At 42.9% G+C, this 20,735-nt stretch overlaps 1 protein-coding gene across 4 annotated transcripts in view; it reads right to left on the bottom strand.

Annotated features, from left to right (window-relative positions):
• The window catches only part of YIPF1 (Yip1 domain family member 1), a 38,065-nt gene that overhangs the window by 6,499 nt on the left and 10,831 nt on the right, over nt 1–20,735 (bottom strand). For all 4 annotated transcript variants that reach the window (NR_135075.2, NR_036640.2, NR_036639.2 and 1 more), the window contains 6 exons: nt 20,411–20,491; nt 20,084–20,171; nt 13,141–13,257; nt 8,527–8,693; nt 7,969–8,151; nt 1,825–1,922 (listed from right to left, as the gene is read on the bottom strand). Coding sequence is in view for 1 of the 4 variants with exons in the window: in NM_018982.5 (NP_061855.1) it covers nt 1,833–1,922; nt 7,969–8,151; nt 8,527–8,693; nt 13,141–13,257; nt 20,084–20,171; nt 20,411–20,491 (726 nt within the window). In the remaining 3 variants the exon portion in view is untranslated. The remainder of the gene's footprint in view (nt 1–1,824; nt 1,923–7,968; nt 8,152–8,526; nt 8,694–13,140; nt 13,258–20,083; nt 20,172–20,410; nt 20,492–20,735) is intronic.

Consider the following 20,735-nt stretch of genomic DNA (forward strand, 5'->3'; position numbering starts at 1 on the left):
AGTTCCCAGTCATTCTACTGGCCAGGGTGACTGTCTTACCATTAAGGAACTGGAAAGCATTTGACCAGTCATATCTAGTCAACCTACAGGGCCTACAACCTGGATTCCTCAACTAAGAGGGAAAATCCCCATTTGTTTTACAAAAAGGAAAAAATGATCAAGGTAAAGTCAGTGGGAGCCACCAAACATAAACTACTGACGCACTCTGAGAGTGGCAGTAGCTTTGATTTTATTGCTGAGCACCTTAACTATGTGCCAGGAGCTTTTATAAAAATAATCTCCAACCTTCACTACAATCTTATATAGTTTGTGTCATTCTTATTGTAAAGACAAGTTAGCTGAAGCTCAAAGAGAGTAAGCCCCTTACCCAAGGCACATTGCTAGTACATGGTAGGGCTGGGATTTATCATTATTATTATTAGAGACAGGTTCTCTCTCTATCATCCAGGCTAGAATGCAGTGGCACAATCACAGCTCACTTTAACCTCCATCTCCCAGGCTCAAGTGATCCTCCAACCCCAGCCTCCCAACTAGTTGGGACTACAGGAGCATGCCACCATGCCAAGCTAATTTTTTGTATTGTTTGTAGAAACGGGGTTTTGCCGCATTGCCCAGGTTGGTCTCAAACTCTTGAGCTCAAGTGATCTGCCTGCCTTGGCCTCCCAGAGTGCTGGGATTACAGGTGTGAGCCACCATAGCTGACCTGGGATTTAATTGTAATTTTATTTAATTCTAAGCCCCTGGTTTTTGCACACATCTCATGCCTCTGGGAGAGAGCAGCTTGGACAGAAAGGACAGTCTGTGATTACACAGCAAAGTAAAGGTTCTTGTCCTGCAGCAAGATCATGTGCAGAGTGTGGCTTCATTTATTCATGCCACAAATATTTACTGAGTGCCCTATGTATACTAGGTTATGTGGTAGGCAATGAAGATATAGAGTAACACCATGCCTTGTTCTTGTCGAGCTGAGCCTAACTGGGGAGACATTGTAGTATACAGTGGACAAATGAATGAATAAATAGCCGAACAAATTAATGAATAGGCAGATGGACACATGATTAGTCAGCCATTAGTGTTTCAAGCACCATGAGAGTGATACTTAATACAAAGTGTAATGGGATCACCAGATAAATTATATGACCAGATAAATGGCCGGGCACGGTGGCTCACGCCTGTAATCCCAGCACTTTGGGTGGCCGAGGCAGGTGGATCACCTGAGGTCAGGAGTTCAAGACCAGCCTGGCCAGCATGGTGAAACCCCATCTCTAATAAAAATACAAAAATTAGCCAGGCAGTAGTGGCACCCACCTGTAATCCCAGCTACTCAGGAGGCTGAGGCAGGAGAATCGCTTGAACCCAGGAGATGGAGGCTGCACTGAGCTGAGATCATGCCATTGCACTCCAGCTTGGGCAACAAGAGCGAAACTCTGTCTCAAAAAGAAAAAAAGAAAGTAAGAAAAAGAAAAAAGAAAAAACCACCAGGATTGTTATAAAATGGAACAAACCCATATTGTGTTCTAGGAAAGGGTTCAGGGAGAAGAGAGTCCCCTCTACTGGGACCAAAGGCAGGAGCTCCTCTTACAGAAGAACCTAAGAGCTCATGTTATCCAACTCTATAAAGCCAGTATCATGTGGATTTCAAAACAGAGGACTTCAATAAGAGGAACACAGAAACACAGACATGCACATGCACAAACCCACGCTGAACTGTGCAGAAGGATGAAAGGGTCTGGCCCTCTGTGCTTAAAGCTAACACTAACAGAATTGATACACCTGCCCATGTTTTATGGCACCACACAGCAAAATAAAAATAGAATCTCTTACTTTCCTCATTAGCTGGACTTGGCTGCAGCAACTGTTTGGTTTGGAGTAGCTGTAGTTGTTGGGAGATGGTCCATCTCTGGTGCATCAAAAAAGTATGCCTGTGGGGAAAAAAAGACCCAGGAGGGAGTTAAAAAGACAGTGGTCCGGGTAAGTGTTTTTTTAGACTCCATGCTAACAGTACTTTTGGACTCTCACAGCCCCTAAGTTCTTCCTACCATATTTGCCATCACACTAAACTACAACCATCTCTGTTTACGTTTGTCTCACTAAATTGTGCATACTTTAAAAAATTTAGCTATCATGTACTGAGCACTTACTATATTACATGACTTACTCTTAATAACCCTATGAGGTTGTTAGGATTATCCTCATTAGACAGATAAAGAAACTAAGGCTCAGAGAGACTGTCATTTGATCAGGTGAACATGGCTAATGAGTGGTGAAGCCAGAACTCAAAGCTAGGTCGGTCTGACTCCAAAGCACAAGCTCTTAATCACAACATTATACAGTCTTTCCTCCAGGGCAAAGACTTCTTCATCTTTGTGTCACCAGCACCCCTGCACAGGGCCTGGCACAGTATGTAACCAATCAATACCTAATGAACTGAACTACATTAGCTTGCTGCTAAACTAGTTAGTTGGCTTTCTGCAAATACCTTGAAAAGAGAGTGCTAGGCATGCTTTCCCTAAAAATTCTTCAGCTGGGAAATGAAAGGTTTGCTAAGTGCTTCCACTCACCATCTACAATTTAACGGTCAAAAGTCAGAAGGAGGTAAAGGAGGGAAGACATAAGGTCTAGAGAAGCCTAACTTGAGCGAAGCCAAACTTGAGCCCAGGAAAATACCAATCTCACTACCCTTGAATACTGGTTGTTCAAAGGAAAGGTGAATCTGTTACTACATCAAGGCTCACTGAATGTTCATGATACCCCCTTGGGGTCAGTGCCCTTAGGAAGGTACACTGTTGGAAAGCCAACAACCATTTTTCACCAGCTCTGCTCTCTATCAGCCAGAAGGGGGCACCAACACAACATGTTGGAGCTCTCCCCTACCTGTTGCTATTCCATGTTAACTCTTTTTGAAAAGTTTCCAGATGATGTCTTTCTCTGCAGACTCCCTCTAGTTTGCCCCATTCCCAAAGCAACTCTATTACTTTTAAGAGGCTTCCTCCTTAGGAACCCTTCCAGCAGCTGTTTTCTGGGGCAAGGAAAGAAGAGTCCCTAACTTAAGTGGGGGATGGGGCCACAGTGCTAGTGCTGGGCTCCTCCAGTTCTCCCTCAGGTACACTGTGCCACAAGCCCCCAGGATGCAGGAACAAAGCCTTTCTTCCAGGCTACTGCAGGGTGCCCTTGTAAGACAGAATGAGCAAAGAGGCCCAGCTTCTACACCTGGCTCTGCTATTAGCTCACACTGTGACTTTGGACAAGTCGCTCCACCTGCTTTGGCCTCAACTTTCTGATCTATAAAATTAAAGGATTAGAAAAGATGATCTTGGGGCTGGTGTGGTGACTCAAGAGAGAGAGAGAGATTGGGTGTGGTGGAGAGAGAAGGAAAGAGAGTGAGAAGGAGAGAGAGAAGGCAGGCAGGGAAGGAAGGAAGGAAGGGAGGGGGGAAGGAAGGAAGGAAGGGAGAGAGAGAGGGAGGGAGGGAGGGAGGGAAGAAAAGTAAATAAGATCTCAGCTGGGTGTGGTGGCTCACACCTGTAATCTCAGCACTTTGGGAGGCCAAGGCAGGTGGATCATTTGAGGCCAGGAGTTCAAGACCAGCCCGGCAAACATGGTGAAACCCCACCTCTACTAAAAATACAAAAATTAGCCAGGCGTGGTGGCACATGCCTGTCATCCCAGCTACTCAGGAGGCTGAGGGACAAGAATTGCTTCAGCCCAGGAGGCAGAGGTTGCAGTGAGCCTAGATCACACTGCTGCACTGCAGCCTGGGTGACAGAGGGAAACTGACTCAAAAAGAAAAGATGATCTCTTAGGGCCATTCCTTGAACAATCTTGAATTCTATGATTCATTAATTCCAAAAATGCTTAATAACAATCACAGCCATCATTTGGGGAATGCCTACTGTGCACCAGACATATACTTGATCATTAATCTGCTCAAAAGTGCTGTAACAGGCCATTTTATCCCTTTTAAAGATGAGAAAGCTGAGGCTCAAAGAAATGGAGATTTTCCCAAGGCTAGACAACTATGTGTCTGAGCTAGGATTTCAATCCAGTCGAGTCCATCTCCATAGTCTGTGCTCTTCTAATTCTCCAACACTTCCTGCAATTTGGCACCTAGTCTATGTCCGGTCCGGATCTAGGCACCGTGGAGACCTCAAAGCTGAATCAGCAGGTTCTCTGTGAGTAGGGGTAGGGCACAGCTCCCTGTAAAAGCCAGCAGTAACCACCTCAAACTTAGGCTTGTACATCTCCAAACATACACCAAGGGTGCAGCCTCTAGGTGCTTCCTTAGTCATCCCTGCCAGTGTGTTCTTGTATAACTTAGACATCATTTACATGTGCAATCACCGAGGGGTCCCTGGCAAGTGTGGGGCTGTTATATGCTTCACTGCACTAAGGCAAAAACACCAATCCGTGTTCCCCAGGGGAGAGTGAGGAAGCCAAGCTGTCTGGTTCAGCCGGTGCCCCTCAGCTCAAATAACTCCCCTGCCAGTTCCTCTCTCTGCCCTAATAATAATGTCTTCCATTTACATGACTCGTCATATTTTCCATGCTGCATATATCATTCAATCCTTGCAACGTAAAGATGTTGCCATGGCATGCACGATCGGCCCCTGTTTCTAAGTGAGGAGGCAGGAGTCCAGAGAAGGGAAATCACCCAACCAGGTGACAGTGGAGCTAGGACTGGAACCCAAGTTTCCTAACTTCTGGCTCAGCCCTTCTGCAGCGCACAATGCCTCCAGAAGAAAAAGGAGGGGCTGGTCACTGTGGAGAACAAAACCCAGGCATGATGGGCCCCTGGCTAGACACCTGACCACGGGATGGTTCCCTTCCTCCAGAAAGAGAAAACTGAGCCTTCCTCTCCAGGAAGAGGCCCTGCACCCCACAAGGACCTCCCTGCTCCACAGTCCAACCCGTCCCGCTCTTCTGAGTCCCTTACAGACTGAACAGCCTCTTCTGTCTCCTCATCTCCACTGCTTTCTCATCCAGGTGTGTAATGGGTAAAAAGTTCAGGAGAGATAAGAAGATGCCAGTGAGAGGCAACAAGGAAGGGCATTGTCATTAAGAGTGGGAGACTTCAGCTTTGGCCCGGGTACCAGCTGTGGGACCTTGGACCACTCTTACTTGGGTACTATGGAGGAATAAGCAGCATACTGGCCCTGGCAGTGTCTGACGACACAGGCTCCTTTAATGACTTTGCATCTGAGGAACACTTCACAGTATATGGAGGGCTTTCACAGCCAGCTCATGGCATCTCACAAAACCCCAAGAAAACAACAATCCCTTTCACAGATGAGGAAACCAAGGTTCTGAGAAGCAAGTCTCTTGCCTAGGTTTGCAGCGCTGAGCATCTCTCAGTCCAGGGCACTCCCTGCTTCAGAATTACGCTCTTTTAGAAAGTTCCTGAGCAGCAAGATGGGCAGGTAAATCCTGGTTTCAGCGCCATCTGCCCCAAAAGGGAACAATAGGCACAGGAGGTAAAAGGTCCTGCCACAGGTACTAGATGAAATGGGTTCTTTTTTTTGTTTTTTTGAGATGAAGTCTCGATCTGTCACCCAGGCTGGAGTGCAGTGGCGCAATCTCAGTTCCCTGCAACCTCCACCTCCTAGGCTCAAGCGATTCTCACACCTCAGCCTCCCTGGTAGCTGAGACTACAAGCACGTGCCACCATACCTGGCTGATTTTTTTATATTTTTGGTAAAGACAGGGTTTAACCATGTTGCCCAGGCTGATCTCGAACTCCTGAGTTCAAGCCATCTGCCTGCAACTTCCTCCCAAAGTGCTGGGATTATAGGCGAGAGCCACCAAGCCTGGCCTGAAGTGGGTTCTTAATAATAACCATAATAGCTCCCTGCTTCACTGCTCAACCTGCCCTGCTCCTATTCCTTAGAGAAATGAGAAGGGCAATGCCTCCTCTCCTGCCTCCTTCTCCTCACCAACTTCTCAGCCAGGCACGTGAGGGGAAGAACTTCAGAAGAGAGACGGGAGATGCCAGTGAGGGACGAGAGATGCCAGTGAGAGTTGGTCACAATGAAAAGGATGTTCTTCAGCAGACAGAAAAGTCCCAGAAGAGTCACGGCAGCATTTTAAGGGATCAACTCAGAGATTCCAAGTGCCAGAAATTAATAGTGTCATTCTGCCATGAGTCAAACCAACAGGCCCGCCTTGAGGGCTTAAAGCTTACGCACATGTAAAGTGCATGTAAACTAGGTTTGTGTTTCACAACTTGGCACTTTTTATGAAACTTGTTTAATGATAAGGCATTGGGATTTCATTAATCTAATGAAATTCTAATCAGATTAATGCATTTAATGAGACATGGTTATCTACACAAAAATGTTAAAGATCAAATGATGCCAAAGAAACATTTACTCCTAAAATTGCAAAACCTGACCAAGGGTCTGGAAACCTGCCATGTGGACTAAGACACCTTCCCATGGCCATGTCCTTTCCTTTATTAGGGACCTTAACATTCTTGGACTCTGATTTTTTTTTCAAAACCTGCAACAGGGCTTGTTAAGGCCGTGGGCAGCAAATTTTGTGCACAGTGTACAGAAGACACAAAACCATGTCTCCTTAGGATCAAAGGAAAGGGACCTAATTTATGGGCATTTACAGGACAAGTTCCATGTTAAGTGCTTTATAGATATCATTTTATTTGCCTCTCAGAACAATCTTGTGGCAGGAAATATACCCATGTCACAGATTAAGAAATTAAGATTCAGAGAGGAACAATAACATCTCCAAGTTCACACAGCCAATGAGTGACAGAGCCGGTCTTCAATCTGGGCTTATCTGACTCAAAAGCACATGCTCTCTCCCTAAAAAGACACCTACATATGAACTCAAACACTACTTTAAATGTTGTTCACCTTAAAAGTAACTCCACTTTCCCATATCTGACTTCATTTTCAAGCTTTCTACCTTCAAATTTAAAACTTTTAATTCCTACCTTTAAACTTTAAACTTTCTACCTTTAAATAAAACTTTAAATTTCAAAAATCTTTCTAGGTATGTGCAGAAAATCAGCAAAGACATCCAAAAACAGAATCCCCCACCCCAGCTCCCTAACTCTATATAGTCAGCCCTCCACATCCACAGGCTCAGCATGCTCAGGCTCAACCAACCACGATGAAAAATATTCTTTAAAAATATGTAAGTTAAAAACACCAATATGACAATAAAAATAATACACATTTTAAAATACAGTATAATAACTATTTACATAGCATTTACATTGCACTAGGTATTATGAGTAATCTGGAAATGATGTAAAGCACATAGGAGGATGTCTGTACACCATTTTTATATAGAGAACTTGAGCATCCATGCTTTGGTATCCATAGAGGGTCCTGGAACCAACCACACCCCCACAACCCCCATACCAAGGAACAAATGTATACAGACACTCATCCACACCTATTTCCTCTGGTCAGACCCCAAATTCTCATCAGATTACTGAAATTAGGCAAAACCAAAGACTAAAGCCAAATTCTCATAATTTCACCACTTCCCATGTAGGTGAGTCTACTTAAAATGAAATTTTATTTCATAGAATCAATTTTTTTTTCTTTTGAGACAGGGTCTCCCTCGGTCACCCAGGCCGGAGTACAGTGGTATGATCTCAGCTCATTGCAACCTCCACCTCCTGGGCTCAAGCGATCCTCTCACCTCAGCCTCCCAAGTACCAGCTACTTGCGATGCTGAGGTGGGAGGATCGTTTAAGCCACGATGCCCAGCTAATTTTTGTATTTTTAGTAGAGACAGGGTTTCACCATGTTGCCCAGGCTGGTCTTGAGCTCCCGAGCTCGAGATCCGCCCACTTGGGCCTCCCAAAGTATTGGGATTATGGGTGTGAGCCAACATGCCCAGCCCATGGACTCAATTTTAAAAGAACTGTTGTGTCTAACAGTTTGAGGTCTTTTAGCATTTGGATATAAAACACACCAAAAGAATATACGACTGAACCCATACCAAGCAGCCCACAGAAAGCAGCATATGGAGCAACACAATTGTCACAATTGTGGCCAATGCAACGCGTCGGTTATCCTCACGAACAGCTGGCCAAAATGTCATTGCCAAGAGAGATCCTGAGATGCCCAGGGCAATCATGACTAGAATCCAACGAACAGCTTTCTGGGGGATAATCCACAGTATCTGAAAGAAGAGAAAAGGAGGAGCGGGGAGTTCTTGGGAGGCATTTGTTCATTCCAGGCACATATGTTTACAAAGGCCCCTGAGCCAATCAGCAGCTGGGCCCCCATTGCCACTCTGGTTTTTCAGTACAGGCTGGAGGAACACCACCAGCATGTAGACTGAGGCATATGCTTTTATAACAAAGGGCCCAAGATCCAATGAAGGCACTAGGCTCCCCAGACCCCTTTCATGCTTAACTTCTAACTTCAAAGGAGATTTTTTCAGAAGAACATGAGTATTGCGCTGGAAATAATGATGGTAGGTCAAATTCTTGGTTGAAGTTTCTACCAAGAACAGAGCATCACTCAGAATCTACTCCCTAAGTATGGTACTTACTGCGGTGGGGATATAAATGAAGAGGGAATATCCATAGACACACACAATCTCCAGAAATGAATAGGAGACGATGTTCATAACTTTGCTGTTTCTCCACATGAGGAAACCCCAGAGTGCAAGAGGAACCAGCCAGGCATAGGCATAGATGATGGTAGCTGCTATGGACACTGAGGATGACAGGACACAAGTTTCAATCTCCATCATGCCTTTAGTAGACTATCAGAGCACTTCCAACACCTTATTGTACTTAAATGCTAACATGTCAATTGACTTCAGTGGACCACGGAATCATGTCTTACTGGTCTGTAATCCCTGAGCTTGGTACAGTACCTAACACACAGTAGGCACTTTAGAAATGTTTGTTGAATTAATGAATCTTTACCATTCGTCTTTGTGGTGAGGATCAATAGTCTCTCATATGGTTTTTATAGGTCATTTAATAACTAACAACTAATATTATTAAACAACTGAACTATGCAACTGAAATACTTCAGAGGGCCACACTGCAAATGTTCATATATAGTAGATATTTCAATCAAATAAAAACCAACTATCCCCTTGGAAGAACATGTTCTCTTCCTCGGTATAACAAGAGCTGACACTGACTTCCTTTTTTTTTTTTTTTTTTTTTTTGAGACAGAGTCTTGCTCTGTCGCCCAGGCTGGAGTGCAGTGGCGCGATCTAGGCTCACTGCAAGCTCCGCCTCCCGGGTTCACGCCATTCTCCTGCCTCAGCCTCCCGAGTAGCTGGGACTACAGGCGCCCGCCACCACATCCGGCTAATTTTTTGTATTTTTAGTAGAGACGGGGTTTCACCGTGTTAGCCAGGATGGTCCTGACCTCGTGATCCGCCCGCCTCCGCCTCCCAAAGTGCTGGGATTACAGGCGTGAGCCACCACGCCCGGCTGACACTGACTTCTTTAGCAAATGTATTAAAATGCCTTGGGTAGAGATTAACTTGCTCTGCATGCTCTCTAGAGTTCCTCTGTCTCTGAAATTGGGAGATGCAGCTCACTGATTAACTGCTTGAAATATTCTCCAGTTATACTTTCTTCCTTAAATAAATAATTCCGCCACTGTGGCAAAAATGCTATTGAGTGGCTCCTCAGAACAGCAACGTTCAGCATATTCCTGTACCTCTCTCCTCTTCCTCTAGTAGCAGCACGCCCTGGAGGATTCCCTTTCCCTCTTCTGGAGTGGAGGTCATAAAGTTATAGGTAAGCCATGGCACCAGCCCTTTCTACATGAAAATCAGTAGGTAATTCACTTAATGCATCTTGGCAAGAACAAAGACACCCCTAACAATTATAGTCAGACTCTGGTTAAGACATGAATGTCCAAAACATGTTTTAGCTCCCAGAACAGTTTTTTCACACTGGGAATTGCCTCGTTAGGCCAAATGTAATTCTGCTGATGTACTGCCTTTTTCTTGGATAACTAAGGGAAGAGGAGGAAATTACTCCCATGGCTATAGCTGTCACTTATTGATCAACTACTGGGCATCAGGTATTACACTCGGTGCTTTATTGAGAGGCAATGTGGAATAATGGTCAAGGGCACAGACTCTGTATACAGACTCCATGGGTTCTAGTTCTAGGAAAAGAAACTCTTGGGGGTAAGTTACTTAACCTTCCTGTCTCAGTTTCCTCATCTATAAAATGGGAAGAAAAATAATATACTACCTTCTAAGATTAATAGGAGAATTAAATGAATAAAAGCAGGTAAGAACTGTTCTATGTAGAAGAGCGACTGATCAATAATAAATGCTCAATCAAGAATTAGTTTTTATATTGTTAACTAATATGTAGCTACATTTATTTCATACAATCTATATTGTCATTTTAGAGATGAGGAAAAGGGGTCAGAGAAGCTAAGTTGTTTGGTCAAGGTCACATAATTAACAAGTTAGTAGAAGCAGGATCTCATCTCAGATGTGACTCATACTTTTTACATAAAACGGAAAAATGTTTATTGATAGGGCCAATGACTACTTTACCAGTATATATATCACATCACTTCCTGATACTGGGATGCCCAGCCAAAGAGGATAAGAACAGGTAAAGACTCTCCTGAGTTTCCAGATCCCCAGGCAAAGTGGTTCACTCCTTCTTCTATGTCAATATACCTACACTTATCTCTGATATAGAGGTTAATATGTACTGTTTACAGCAATAGTCATTTACTAGCTTTCTAACCACTGAACTACTTGAAGGCAGGATCTATATCTCATGGTTAATATTTACTGAATTAAACTCAAATCAAGGTTATTTGATAGAGTTGGGATTGAATCCAAGTCTGACTCCATGATGGACAAGAAGGGAAAGTGGGCATGGAAGGTAGAGGGGAAGAAAAGAAGGAAGGATACATGGATACATTCTCTCTCTCTCTCTCTCTCTCTCTCTCTCACACACACACACACACACACACACACACAGGCAAATACATATCTTTCTATGTACACACAGTGAACTAGCTGAAGGCAGGGTTTCTATCTCATGGTTAACATTTATTGCATTAAACTCAAACCAAGGTTACTGGATAAATAATGGGATTGAATATATGTGCACATATTTTTGTGTGTGTGTGTGTGTATAGTAATAGTTAATGTTTATTGAACTCTTTTTGGTACAAACCACTATTCTAAGCTTTTTATATATATTAACTCTTTATTCTTACAATAGTCCTGTAAGATAAATATTATTATTTCCATTTCACCAATGAAGAATCTGAGGCTCAGACATAAAATAGCTTGCCCAACAGAGTAGAAGCTAGTGAGTGGTGGAGCTGGAACTGAAGCTAGCAGTCTAGTTCCAGAACTGGTGCTCTTATCCAGGCTACTTACAGCCTCTCGACAGCAGAGCAGGCAGGGAGAGAGCGAGGGAACTGAGAAAGTGGTACAGGCCAATCTCCGACAAAGCCAAACTTCCTCATTTGGGGGCAGCTGTCATCTGCAAGTCTCTAAAAGCTGTTTTGTTTTTTCTTCTAAATACCCAATACTGACATAAGAAAGGACGTTTTAAAACAAGAATGTCATTCACAAGCCCATCCCTAGGACACATTCATTTCTGCATTTTCCCTTCCAGGCTTTGATCATTTGCAGACTTCTTTCTCCCCGCTTTTTTTTTTTTTTTTTTGAGACAGAGTCTCTCTCTGTTGCCCAGGCTAGAGTGCAGTAGCGTGATCTCGGCTCACTGCAACCTCCGCCTCCTGGGTTCAACCAATTCTCCTGCCTCAGCCTCCTGATTACAGGCATGCGCCACCATGCCTGGATAATTTTTTATTTTTAGTAGAGACGGGTTTCACCATGTTGGTCAGACTGGTCTCGAACTCCTGACCTTGTGATCCACCCACCTTGGCCTCCCAAAGTGCTGGGATTACAGGCTTGAGCCACCGCACCGGGTCTCTTTTTTTTTTTTTTTTTTTTTTTTTTTTTGAGACAGTGACTCGCTCTGTCACCCAGGCTGGAGTGCAGTGGTACGATCACAGCTCACTACAGCCTCAATCTCTGGGCTCAAGTCATCCTCCCAACTCAGCCTCCTGAGTAGCTGGGACTACAGGCATGCACCACCATACCCGGTAACTTTTTTTTAGTTTTTAGTTTTAGAGACAAGGTCTCACTATGTTGCCCAGGCTGATCTCAAACTCCTCAGCTCAAGCAATCCTCCCACCTTGGCCTCCCAAAGTGCTGGGATGACAGGCATGAGCAACCATGTCCAGCCCAGATTTCTCTTCAGCAAAGTTGCTAACAGAATAGGCACCAGTTTGGAATAAGTTATGAATTTTCCACATAGCTCTAGGTGCTTTGTGACTGGCAATTGCAGATGACCCCAGCTAGTTGAGCCATCACAGCCTAAAACAATGTTTCTATTGTCTCCAAAATGTGGATAATACAAATAATGCCACACAGGAGACCTTCACACACACCTTTAAATTATTTTGTACACTTGTCTTAGAATATATTCCAGCTGTGGCCAGGTGTGATGGCTCACACCTGTAATCCTACCTAGCACCTCGGGAGGCCAAGATGGGAGAATCACTTGAGCCCAAGAGTTTGAGATCAGCCTGGGCAACACAGGGAGACCTATCTCTATAAAAAAATAGAAAAATTAGCCAGGTATGGTGTTGCATGCCTATGGTCCCAGCTACTCAGGAGGCTGAGGTGGGAGGATTACTTGAGCCCAGGGAGGTGGAGGCTGCAGTGAGCTGTGATCGTACCACTGCACTCCAGCCTGGGTGACAGAGCGAGTCACTGTCTCAAAAAAAAAAAAAAAAAAAAAAAAGGAATAAACTGCAGTTGCTATTCGGCCTTGATTTACAGCTTTCCCAAAGATTATGTGGACTCATAACATTGTGAATGTACTTAATGCCATTGAATTACACATTTAAATGGTAAATTTTATGTAATATATATTTTACCACTGTAAGAAGAAAAAGATTATGTGGATTTATATAGATGGGTGGTAAACTCATCTACACATTTGAGTAGATACATTGAACCCTAAAACACAAAAGCAGGGCTGCAGCATCTAGAGATGGGGCCCAGGAGCTCAGTGGGTAAAAAGAACTCAAAGCTAGAAACTGACAGCATTCCAAATGAGTCAAGCTATTCACCAACCTTTTCGGAATTCGGGCACATAATGGTACGTCTTCTCTCCCAGATGGATCAAGAAGTTGGAAAGATTCCCACTAATTGCTATGGCAAAGACCAACGTGGCACATATCCAAAAGGGGCCTGCAAAGGAAACCAGAAAATTCAGAAACAAGAAAATGAAGCATAAGCCTTTAGATTCTTACAGAATTTCTTATCTTCCTCTTGTATTCATGTTAGCAAAAGAAAATGAATTTTCTAGATGGGATCAACACTTGCTGAAGGGAAATTTTTTTTTCAAAGGTCAAACACACATCTCAGTAATTAGCTGCCTTAAAGAAGGTGGGGTGTTGGTACTCCAATCCAAAGGCCAAAACGCCTTCCACAATTAGGTGAATGAAGACACTGATTTCTGTATAGCTTCTTTTGTTGGAGGATCACCACCGACAAAGAAAAATTCACAGGCTTTTTATTAAACCTTCCACCAGAATACATGAAGTAAAGATTACTTCGCTTATCTAAGTGCCAAATGTTAGCATCACAGAGAAAGAAGTTAAATCAGACAGAGCTTGTGCAGCATACAGAAAGAGCAGGGCAAACAGAACACATGAGGGCAGAGTCGATTAAACCTACCAGTTCACCACGGTTGTGTTGAGTGTCAGTGTGTGTGTGTGTGTGTGTGTGTGCTTAAGGCTTTTTCTTTTTTTTTTTAATGAAAAAGTAATACAATGCACTATATACACCTACTGTCTACCCACAAAAATTAAAATTAAAAATTAAAAAAAGTAATATATGTATATGGTCCAGTGTTTCAAAAGGTACAAAGGGAATATGGAGAACAGCAAGATCCACTCCCTCTCTGTGCCCCGGCTCTCTATCTTTCCTCCCTAAAGCTCACCAAAGTAAGCAGTTTCTGATGAAACCTGCTAGGAATATTCCACTCATGTATATAAGCAAATGCATGTGTATATGTGCATATTTTATACAGATGATAACATACATATATGTCCTCCTGTGTACCCTTCTATTTTCACCTTAATATAGCCTGGTGAGTCTATCACAGCTACTCATAAAAATCAGCTTGTTCTTTTTCAATGGTTTTAAGATATACCACTGAGCAGATGAGTGGACCATGCTTTACAAACCTCTTTCATTATTTGCATGATTTCGTGAACACTATCCTTGTCTCTCCCCATCTAGAAAAAGTACTATGTAGAACAAATACTATCTTTAGATTGAGAGATTTTAATAAATTGTATGAATTTCATTTTTCAATTTCACTAATATTTTGCAACACCCTTTGGGATAATTTCAGGTACCTTGACACGTCACAAAATTACGAACATTACTGTCATAGGTGAGATGACTAGCAGAAACAGATTAGTACTTTTCAAAGGCAAGCACTGGCCCCTGAAGGTGGGAAAAGGAACACAAGCAATCAAATGGGTATGCTTCAAAAAGTCACCAATATTAGCTCTCCACAAACTGCCTCTTTACTCACTAGACTGAAAGCTTTCTGCTGTAGACAAGGACTAAATCTCACAGTATTATTCTGAGTGACCACACATAAGAGTGGCAAAAAAAACCAACAACAAACAAAAAACCCCACAAAGCCCCTATAGCCAAAAAGCTTTACTGAATGAATAAATCTGACCATGTGTTATAGATGAGCTGAGACCATCCAAGGGTATGACCACAAGTGGCCAAAATATTAACTTACAATACCCAAATAACTAGAAAACCAAGAATATTATGTCCTCTCAGTCATTATTTACTAAGTACCCACTACCCTCTGCTGGGGACACGATGATGGGCAACAGAGACACAGTCACTGCCTCTAGTGCACCCATGCACTCCGGGGAGACGATCAATAAAATATCTAATCTCAGAAGGTAGTACAGGGTGCCTATGGGAGCATATAGGGAAGGTGGAAAACCTAGAGAAAGGGATGTGTAAGCTGGGATCTAAAGAAGAACAGGAGTTCACCAAGTGAGGACAGAAGAGAAGAGAGGTCCGTGAAGAGGGAATAGCAGGAGCAGAGACTGAAGTAAGAGGTACCAGTTCGAGGCCAAGCTTCAGGTCAGGAGTAGCCAGAGATTGAAGAGATGGGCCAGAGTCAGATCATGAAGGGTCTTAGAAGCCCTGTTGAGTTAGGAATTTATCTTGAGGGCAACAGGAAGCCTGTGAATTGGGCCTGGTGGCTTAAGCCTGTAGTCCCAGCTACTCAGGACACTGAGGTGAGAGGGTCACTTGAGGCTAGGAGTTTGAGGCAGCAGGGAGCTATGATCATGCCTCTGAATAGCTACCGCACTCCAGCCTTGGCAACACAGCAAGACCTCATCTCAAAAAAAAAAAAAGTGGGGGCGGGGGGGAATGCGGTGGCTCACACCTATAATCCCAGCACTTTGGGAGGCTGAGGCAGGCAGATCACTTGAGCTCAGGAGTTCAAGACCAGCCTGGGCAACATGATGAAACCCTTTCACTAAAATATTAATTAACTTTTTTAAAGGCAGGCTGGTATGGGAAGATATGTATACTAATGTGAAGACTTATCTAGCATTCTCTAGCTGCCCCATGCTCTAAGCTACCTAACAACTCTGGCACGGGAACAGCTGGAGAAACAATATTTTCAGGTGGCCTGAAAGGTCCAACACCTGCCCACCCACTACCTCTATGTGGCCCAATGCTCATCCTTGGACACAAGCAAGATAACTTTCCCAGCCCTTAGCATTTTTGTCCCTCTCCTATTATCATCCCTCTCCCCCGTTTGCAACCCTTCACTGAACCTCCACTGCTTAAGGACAAAATCCTAATTCCTGAGGCTGATATAAAAGGCCCCAGGATCTGGGCTCTGTAACTTCTCCAGCTACCCCCAGTGGAAGGCTGGACTCCAGAGACTTACGACACCCACTCATCCCAGGACCTGCCATGTTGCTTCATACTGCCTTCTCCGTTTCCTGCCAAATTCCTACTCTTATTATGGGTTGGGGGTGGGAGAGAGCCTTAATTTAGGTTGTATTTATAATTAAAATTTCATATTATGCATTTTTATATTATGAAATATTTCTAACATACAGAAAAGCACGAAGAATAACACAAACACTGGTTACCTAGCATGTCACTTTTAAAAAATATTTTTAGGCCGGGCATGGTGGTTCACACCTATAATCCCAGCACTTTGGGAGGCTGAGGCAGGCAGACCATTTGAGGTTAGGAGTTTGAGACCAGCCTGGCCAACATGGTAAAACTCCGTCTCTACTAAAAATACAAAAATTAGCTGGCGTGGTGGCACATGCCTGTAGTCCCAGCTACTCGGGAAGGCTGAGGCAGGAGAATCACTTGAACCCAGGACTCAGGGGTTGCAGTGAGCCGAGATTGCGCCTTTGCACTCCAGCCTGGGTGACAGAGTGAGACTCTGTCTCAAAAAATATATATATATTTTTAATGGTATCATTCTATTCATATCCTTCCACAACATGCTTTTTAAAATCATTGTGCTAAGATTTATCTATATTTATGCTTTTAGCTCTCATTCATTTTTTTAACTACAGAATTCCATGTATAAATATAGTAGCACAATGTATCCATTCTCCTGCTGATGGATATCTTGGTTGTTTCTAAATATTTGCTATTACAAGCAATACTGCTACAGTGGATAATATTCTTCTATATGTTGTTCCATATATATGTGAATTCCTCTAAAATTATCTACCTAGGAGTGAAACTGCTGAATTATAGGGTATAAGCATCTTCAAACTGCTCCAATTTGTGTACCAGTTACATACCCACCAGTTACATACCTACCATACAAAAGTTTCCACTGCTCCATATCCTTGGCCACACTTAATATCAATGTTCATGAAATCTGACTTAGAGTATGTCACTCCTGGCTTGGGGCAGTGGCTCATGCCTGTAAGGTCAGCACTTTGGGAGGGTAAGGCAGGAGGATTGCTTGAGGCCAGGAGTTTGAGGCCAGCCTGGACAACATAGTGAGACCCTGTCTCTACAAAAAATACAAACATTATCCAGGCATGGTGGCACATGCCTGTAGTCCCAGATACTCATGAAGATGAGGTGGGGGAGGATGGCTTGAGCCCAGGATTTTGAGGCTGCAGTGAGCCATTATCGAGCCACTGCACTCCAGCCTGGGCAACAGAGCAAGACCCAGTCTCAAAAAACAAAAAAGTATGTTACTCGTCTGTCCAAACTCTCCAATGGCTTTGCATTCAAGCAAATGCCAAAGTCCTCACTGTGACTTATGAGACCTTACCTGTCCCTCCACACTGTCTCTCTCACCTCATCTCCTTCTAGGTCCCCCTGTTCACTCTCATCCAGTCGCAATAGCCTCTTGAGGTTCTTTGAATGTACTAGGCTAGCTCTTGCCTCAGGGCCTTTGCACTTGCTGATCCTTCTGTTTCAAGTGCTCTTCCCTTAGATATCTACATAAATCACTCCCAATTACTTCAGGTCATTACTCAAAATTCACCTTTTTAAATTTTCAAATTCACCCATTTATACAAACACTTCATGTCCTTCTTCTCTCTGCTATTAAATTTTCACCTAAGCATTCATTACTAGAAAACTATATATTTTACTTTTCTTTGCTTATTGTTAAGCTCAGTAAATTAAAAATTGCCTAAGGGTAGAGATTTTTATGTTTTCACTGCTGTATCTCCAGTACAATAGCAAGAGCTCAATGTTTGTTGAATGAATTGAATGAATAAATGAAGACAAGCCAAACTGTGTATGTTTACTAAAATAATGAGCATAAATAATCTTATTTTACTTTTTATTTCTCTGGTTGCAGGTGGGGCTAAGCATCTTTTCATATATTTATTGGCAATTTTTTCCCCAGAGTTGCTTGGTTTATTCTTCTAATTTGTGGGAGTTCGACATATATTCTTGTTTCTCACTGTTTGTTGGTTATATGCATTGGAAGTATGTCCCCTGGTCTGTGGTTTATTTTTTTACTTTACTTATGGTTTATTTTGTTGTGTAGAAATTTTAAATTTTAGGTGAAATGTAGTCAAAGTTATCAATCTTTTCCTTACACTCTGTAAATTGTCATCTTTTTCTTAACTGCCTTCCTCTAACCTCCACCCACAACAAAACCTAATCCTCTCTGCTATCAAACACTTCACCTATATTGTACCTTCTTCTTTTAACCACGTCTATGAGCTAATGAGGCTACTAGTGTCACAGAAAAGAAGCAAGCCTTGGATTCAAGCCCTGGCTTTGTCATGAGAGGCAGTATAGCATAGTGATGAAGAAATGGATTATGAGCTACAGTGTTGATTTGAAAATTGAGCCCAGCACTTACTAGCTGTATAATCTCAGGCAAGTTACTGGACCTCTGTGTGACTCAGTGTCCTCATCTATAAAATGGGGATAATAATAGTATCTCCCTCATGAAGTTGGATCTGGCATAAGGATTAAATGAGTTAATACAGGTACTGCCCTAATAATAGTGTCTGGCACATAATAAGCATTATATGTGTGTTTGCCATTATTATTGCTAACTCTGTAACTACGGGCAAGTTATCTCCTTAATCTCAGTTTTCTCTTTTGTAAGATAAGGCTACCTTGGAGTATGGGAAATAAAATAGCATAAAATACTAAAATAGTGCTTATCTCCACGCTTGGCACTTATAAGGTATTCAACAGATGTTAGTGTTCTCTCTTCTTCCTCATTGGGGCTAGGGACCATGGCCTTATCTTTAAATCCTCAGCCTCTAGCACAGAGTCTAGCATAAAATAAGGTGCTAAAAATTGTTTGAGCACCTGCTGTGTGCCAAGGCCTCTGCCAGGCACTAAAGACACTGAGGCACAGAGCCTGCCCCTCAGGATGTTCTCAGGCTACAAGTAAGAATGAATGAGACAGAGAAACCACCCTGACAACCCTCAGATGAAAAGCATGGGCCAGTGCAATGGTTTTCACACCAGGCTCCCTAGAGTCCATATTTAAAATCAACATATATGACTGCTTTACTATTTATCATTTCTGATTGAGCATATATATCAATGATCCTCACTGAGCATCAGCTTCCTCATTTGAAAAGTGGGGATACTTTGCAAGGGTTGTTGCAAGAATGAGATATGATCAAGTACACACACAGTCTTTGGTACAGCACCTGGCACACGGACAGCACTCTCTTCTCCCCTCAAACACAGGCCACTGTTGGGGCCTTTTCCTCAGGAGTACTGGGTGGACCTCTGAGTTTTTCTCAGACAGCATTAAGGTCAGGGATGACAACAATCCCCGGCCCAATCCTGTTTTAGACTTCCACTGCTGGTGACCAAATCCTAAAAGGAGCCAGCTCATCTGAGGGCAGAGCTGGAACTCAGCATATCAATGAAAAAGTGTGAGAATACCTTCTCCTCCAACATCAAATGGTCCAATCTCCACCTAGTCAAAGTGACTAAATTTGTCTCAAGTTGTAAAGTTATTTGAAGAATTTTTAAAAATCATTCTTTTTATTTTTATTTTTTAGTAGAGATAGGGTCTCCTTATGTTGCCCAGGCTGGTCTCAAACTCCTTGGGCTCAAGCAATCCTCCTGCCTTGGCCTCCCAAAGTGTTGGGATTACAGGCGGCAGCCACTGTGCCAACCCAGCCTTTAGTAGAGACAGGGTCTTGCTATGTTGCCCAGACTGGTCTCAAACTCCTAGCCTCTGGCAATCCTCCCATCTTAGCCTTCCAAAGTGCTGGGATTATAGGCATGAGCCACTGCGCTCAGCCCCATTTAAAGACCTTTGAAGGATATACTAGTACTTGTAATGATGACGTGGCACTAATATAACACATAATTGTATTCCTCCAAAATTACTTGCAAGGGTTGCTACTGAAGTTCAGAAAAGTCTAATAATACATGGCATGCCCCACCAATAGTGCAGTTCTCCACATTTCCAGGCAACCCTCACACTCACCCAAGTTCAACTGAAATACGGTAAACAAATCAGTACTAAACATACCATAGAGATCTGGATTGCTGCGGATATATAACCTCACAAAGTTTTTCCCGGGTATTGGCAAAAGAGATCCTTTAATTCTGTCAAAGACCTGGAAAACATCATAGCAGTAATTCTACTGAAGTTTTTTAAGTTTAATAAATTCAACTACTACAAAATTGAAACTCAGTCATTAGAGCTTTTATGATAGTATTTTCAAATGCTAATAACCCTTTACTTTTGTAAGACCATTTTCAGTATATAAAGGCTTTCACATTATTTGGTTGTTCAACCATTAAAGAAACAAGTCTCCTTTACCCGTAAAAGGAAAGGTGAAATTGGTTTCCAAACCTGGTAGGTGTCCACATCAAAGAATGTTTGGTAGTATTCAAATGTCCAGAAGGGGGAGCTTTTCTTCTGTCCAGCAAGTAACTGTCAGAAATAAAATAAAACATAATGAACACATAAGCAATTTCTTAATTCCAGCTGCGTGGGGTGCAGGAGGGATCTGATCTAATGGAAAAGCAAAACGTTTGAAACAATAGGCTCTTCCACATTCAATAACCAACTCTGAAATAGCCAATTCGCAACTCTCAGCCTGATTAGAAAAACAAGCATTGGTTTTGAAGTCACACCAAAAGGGTTCAAATCCTGGCCCCTCCACTGAGGGGAGCTT

This window comes from Homo sapiens, chromosome 1 (assembly GCF_000001405.40).
Source record: "Homo sapiens chromosome 1, GRCh38.p14 Primary Assembly".
NCBI classification, from domain to species: domain Eukaryota; kingdom Metazoa; phylum Chordata; class Mammalia; order Primates; family Hominidae; genus Homo; species Homo sapiens.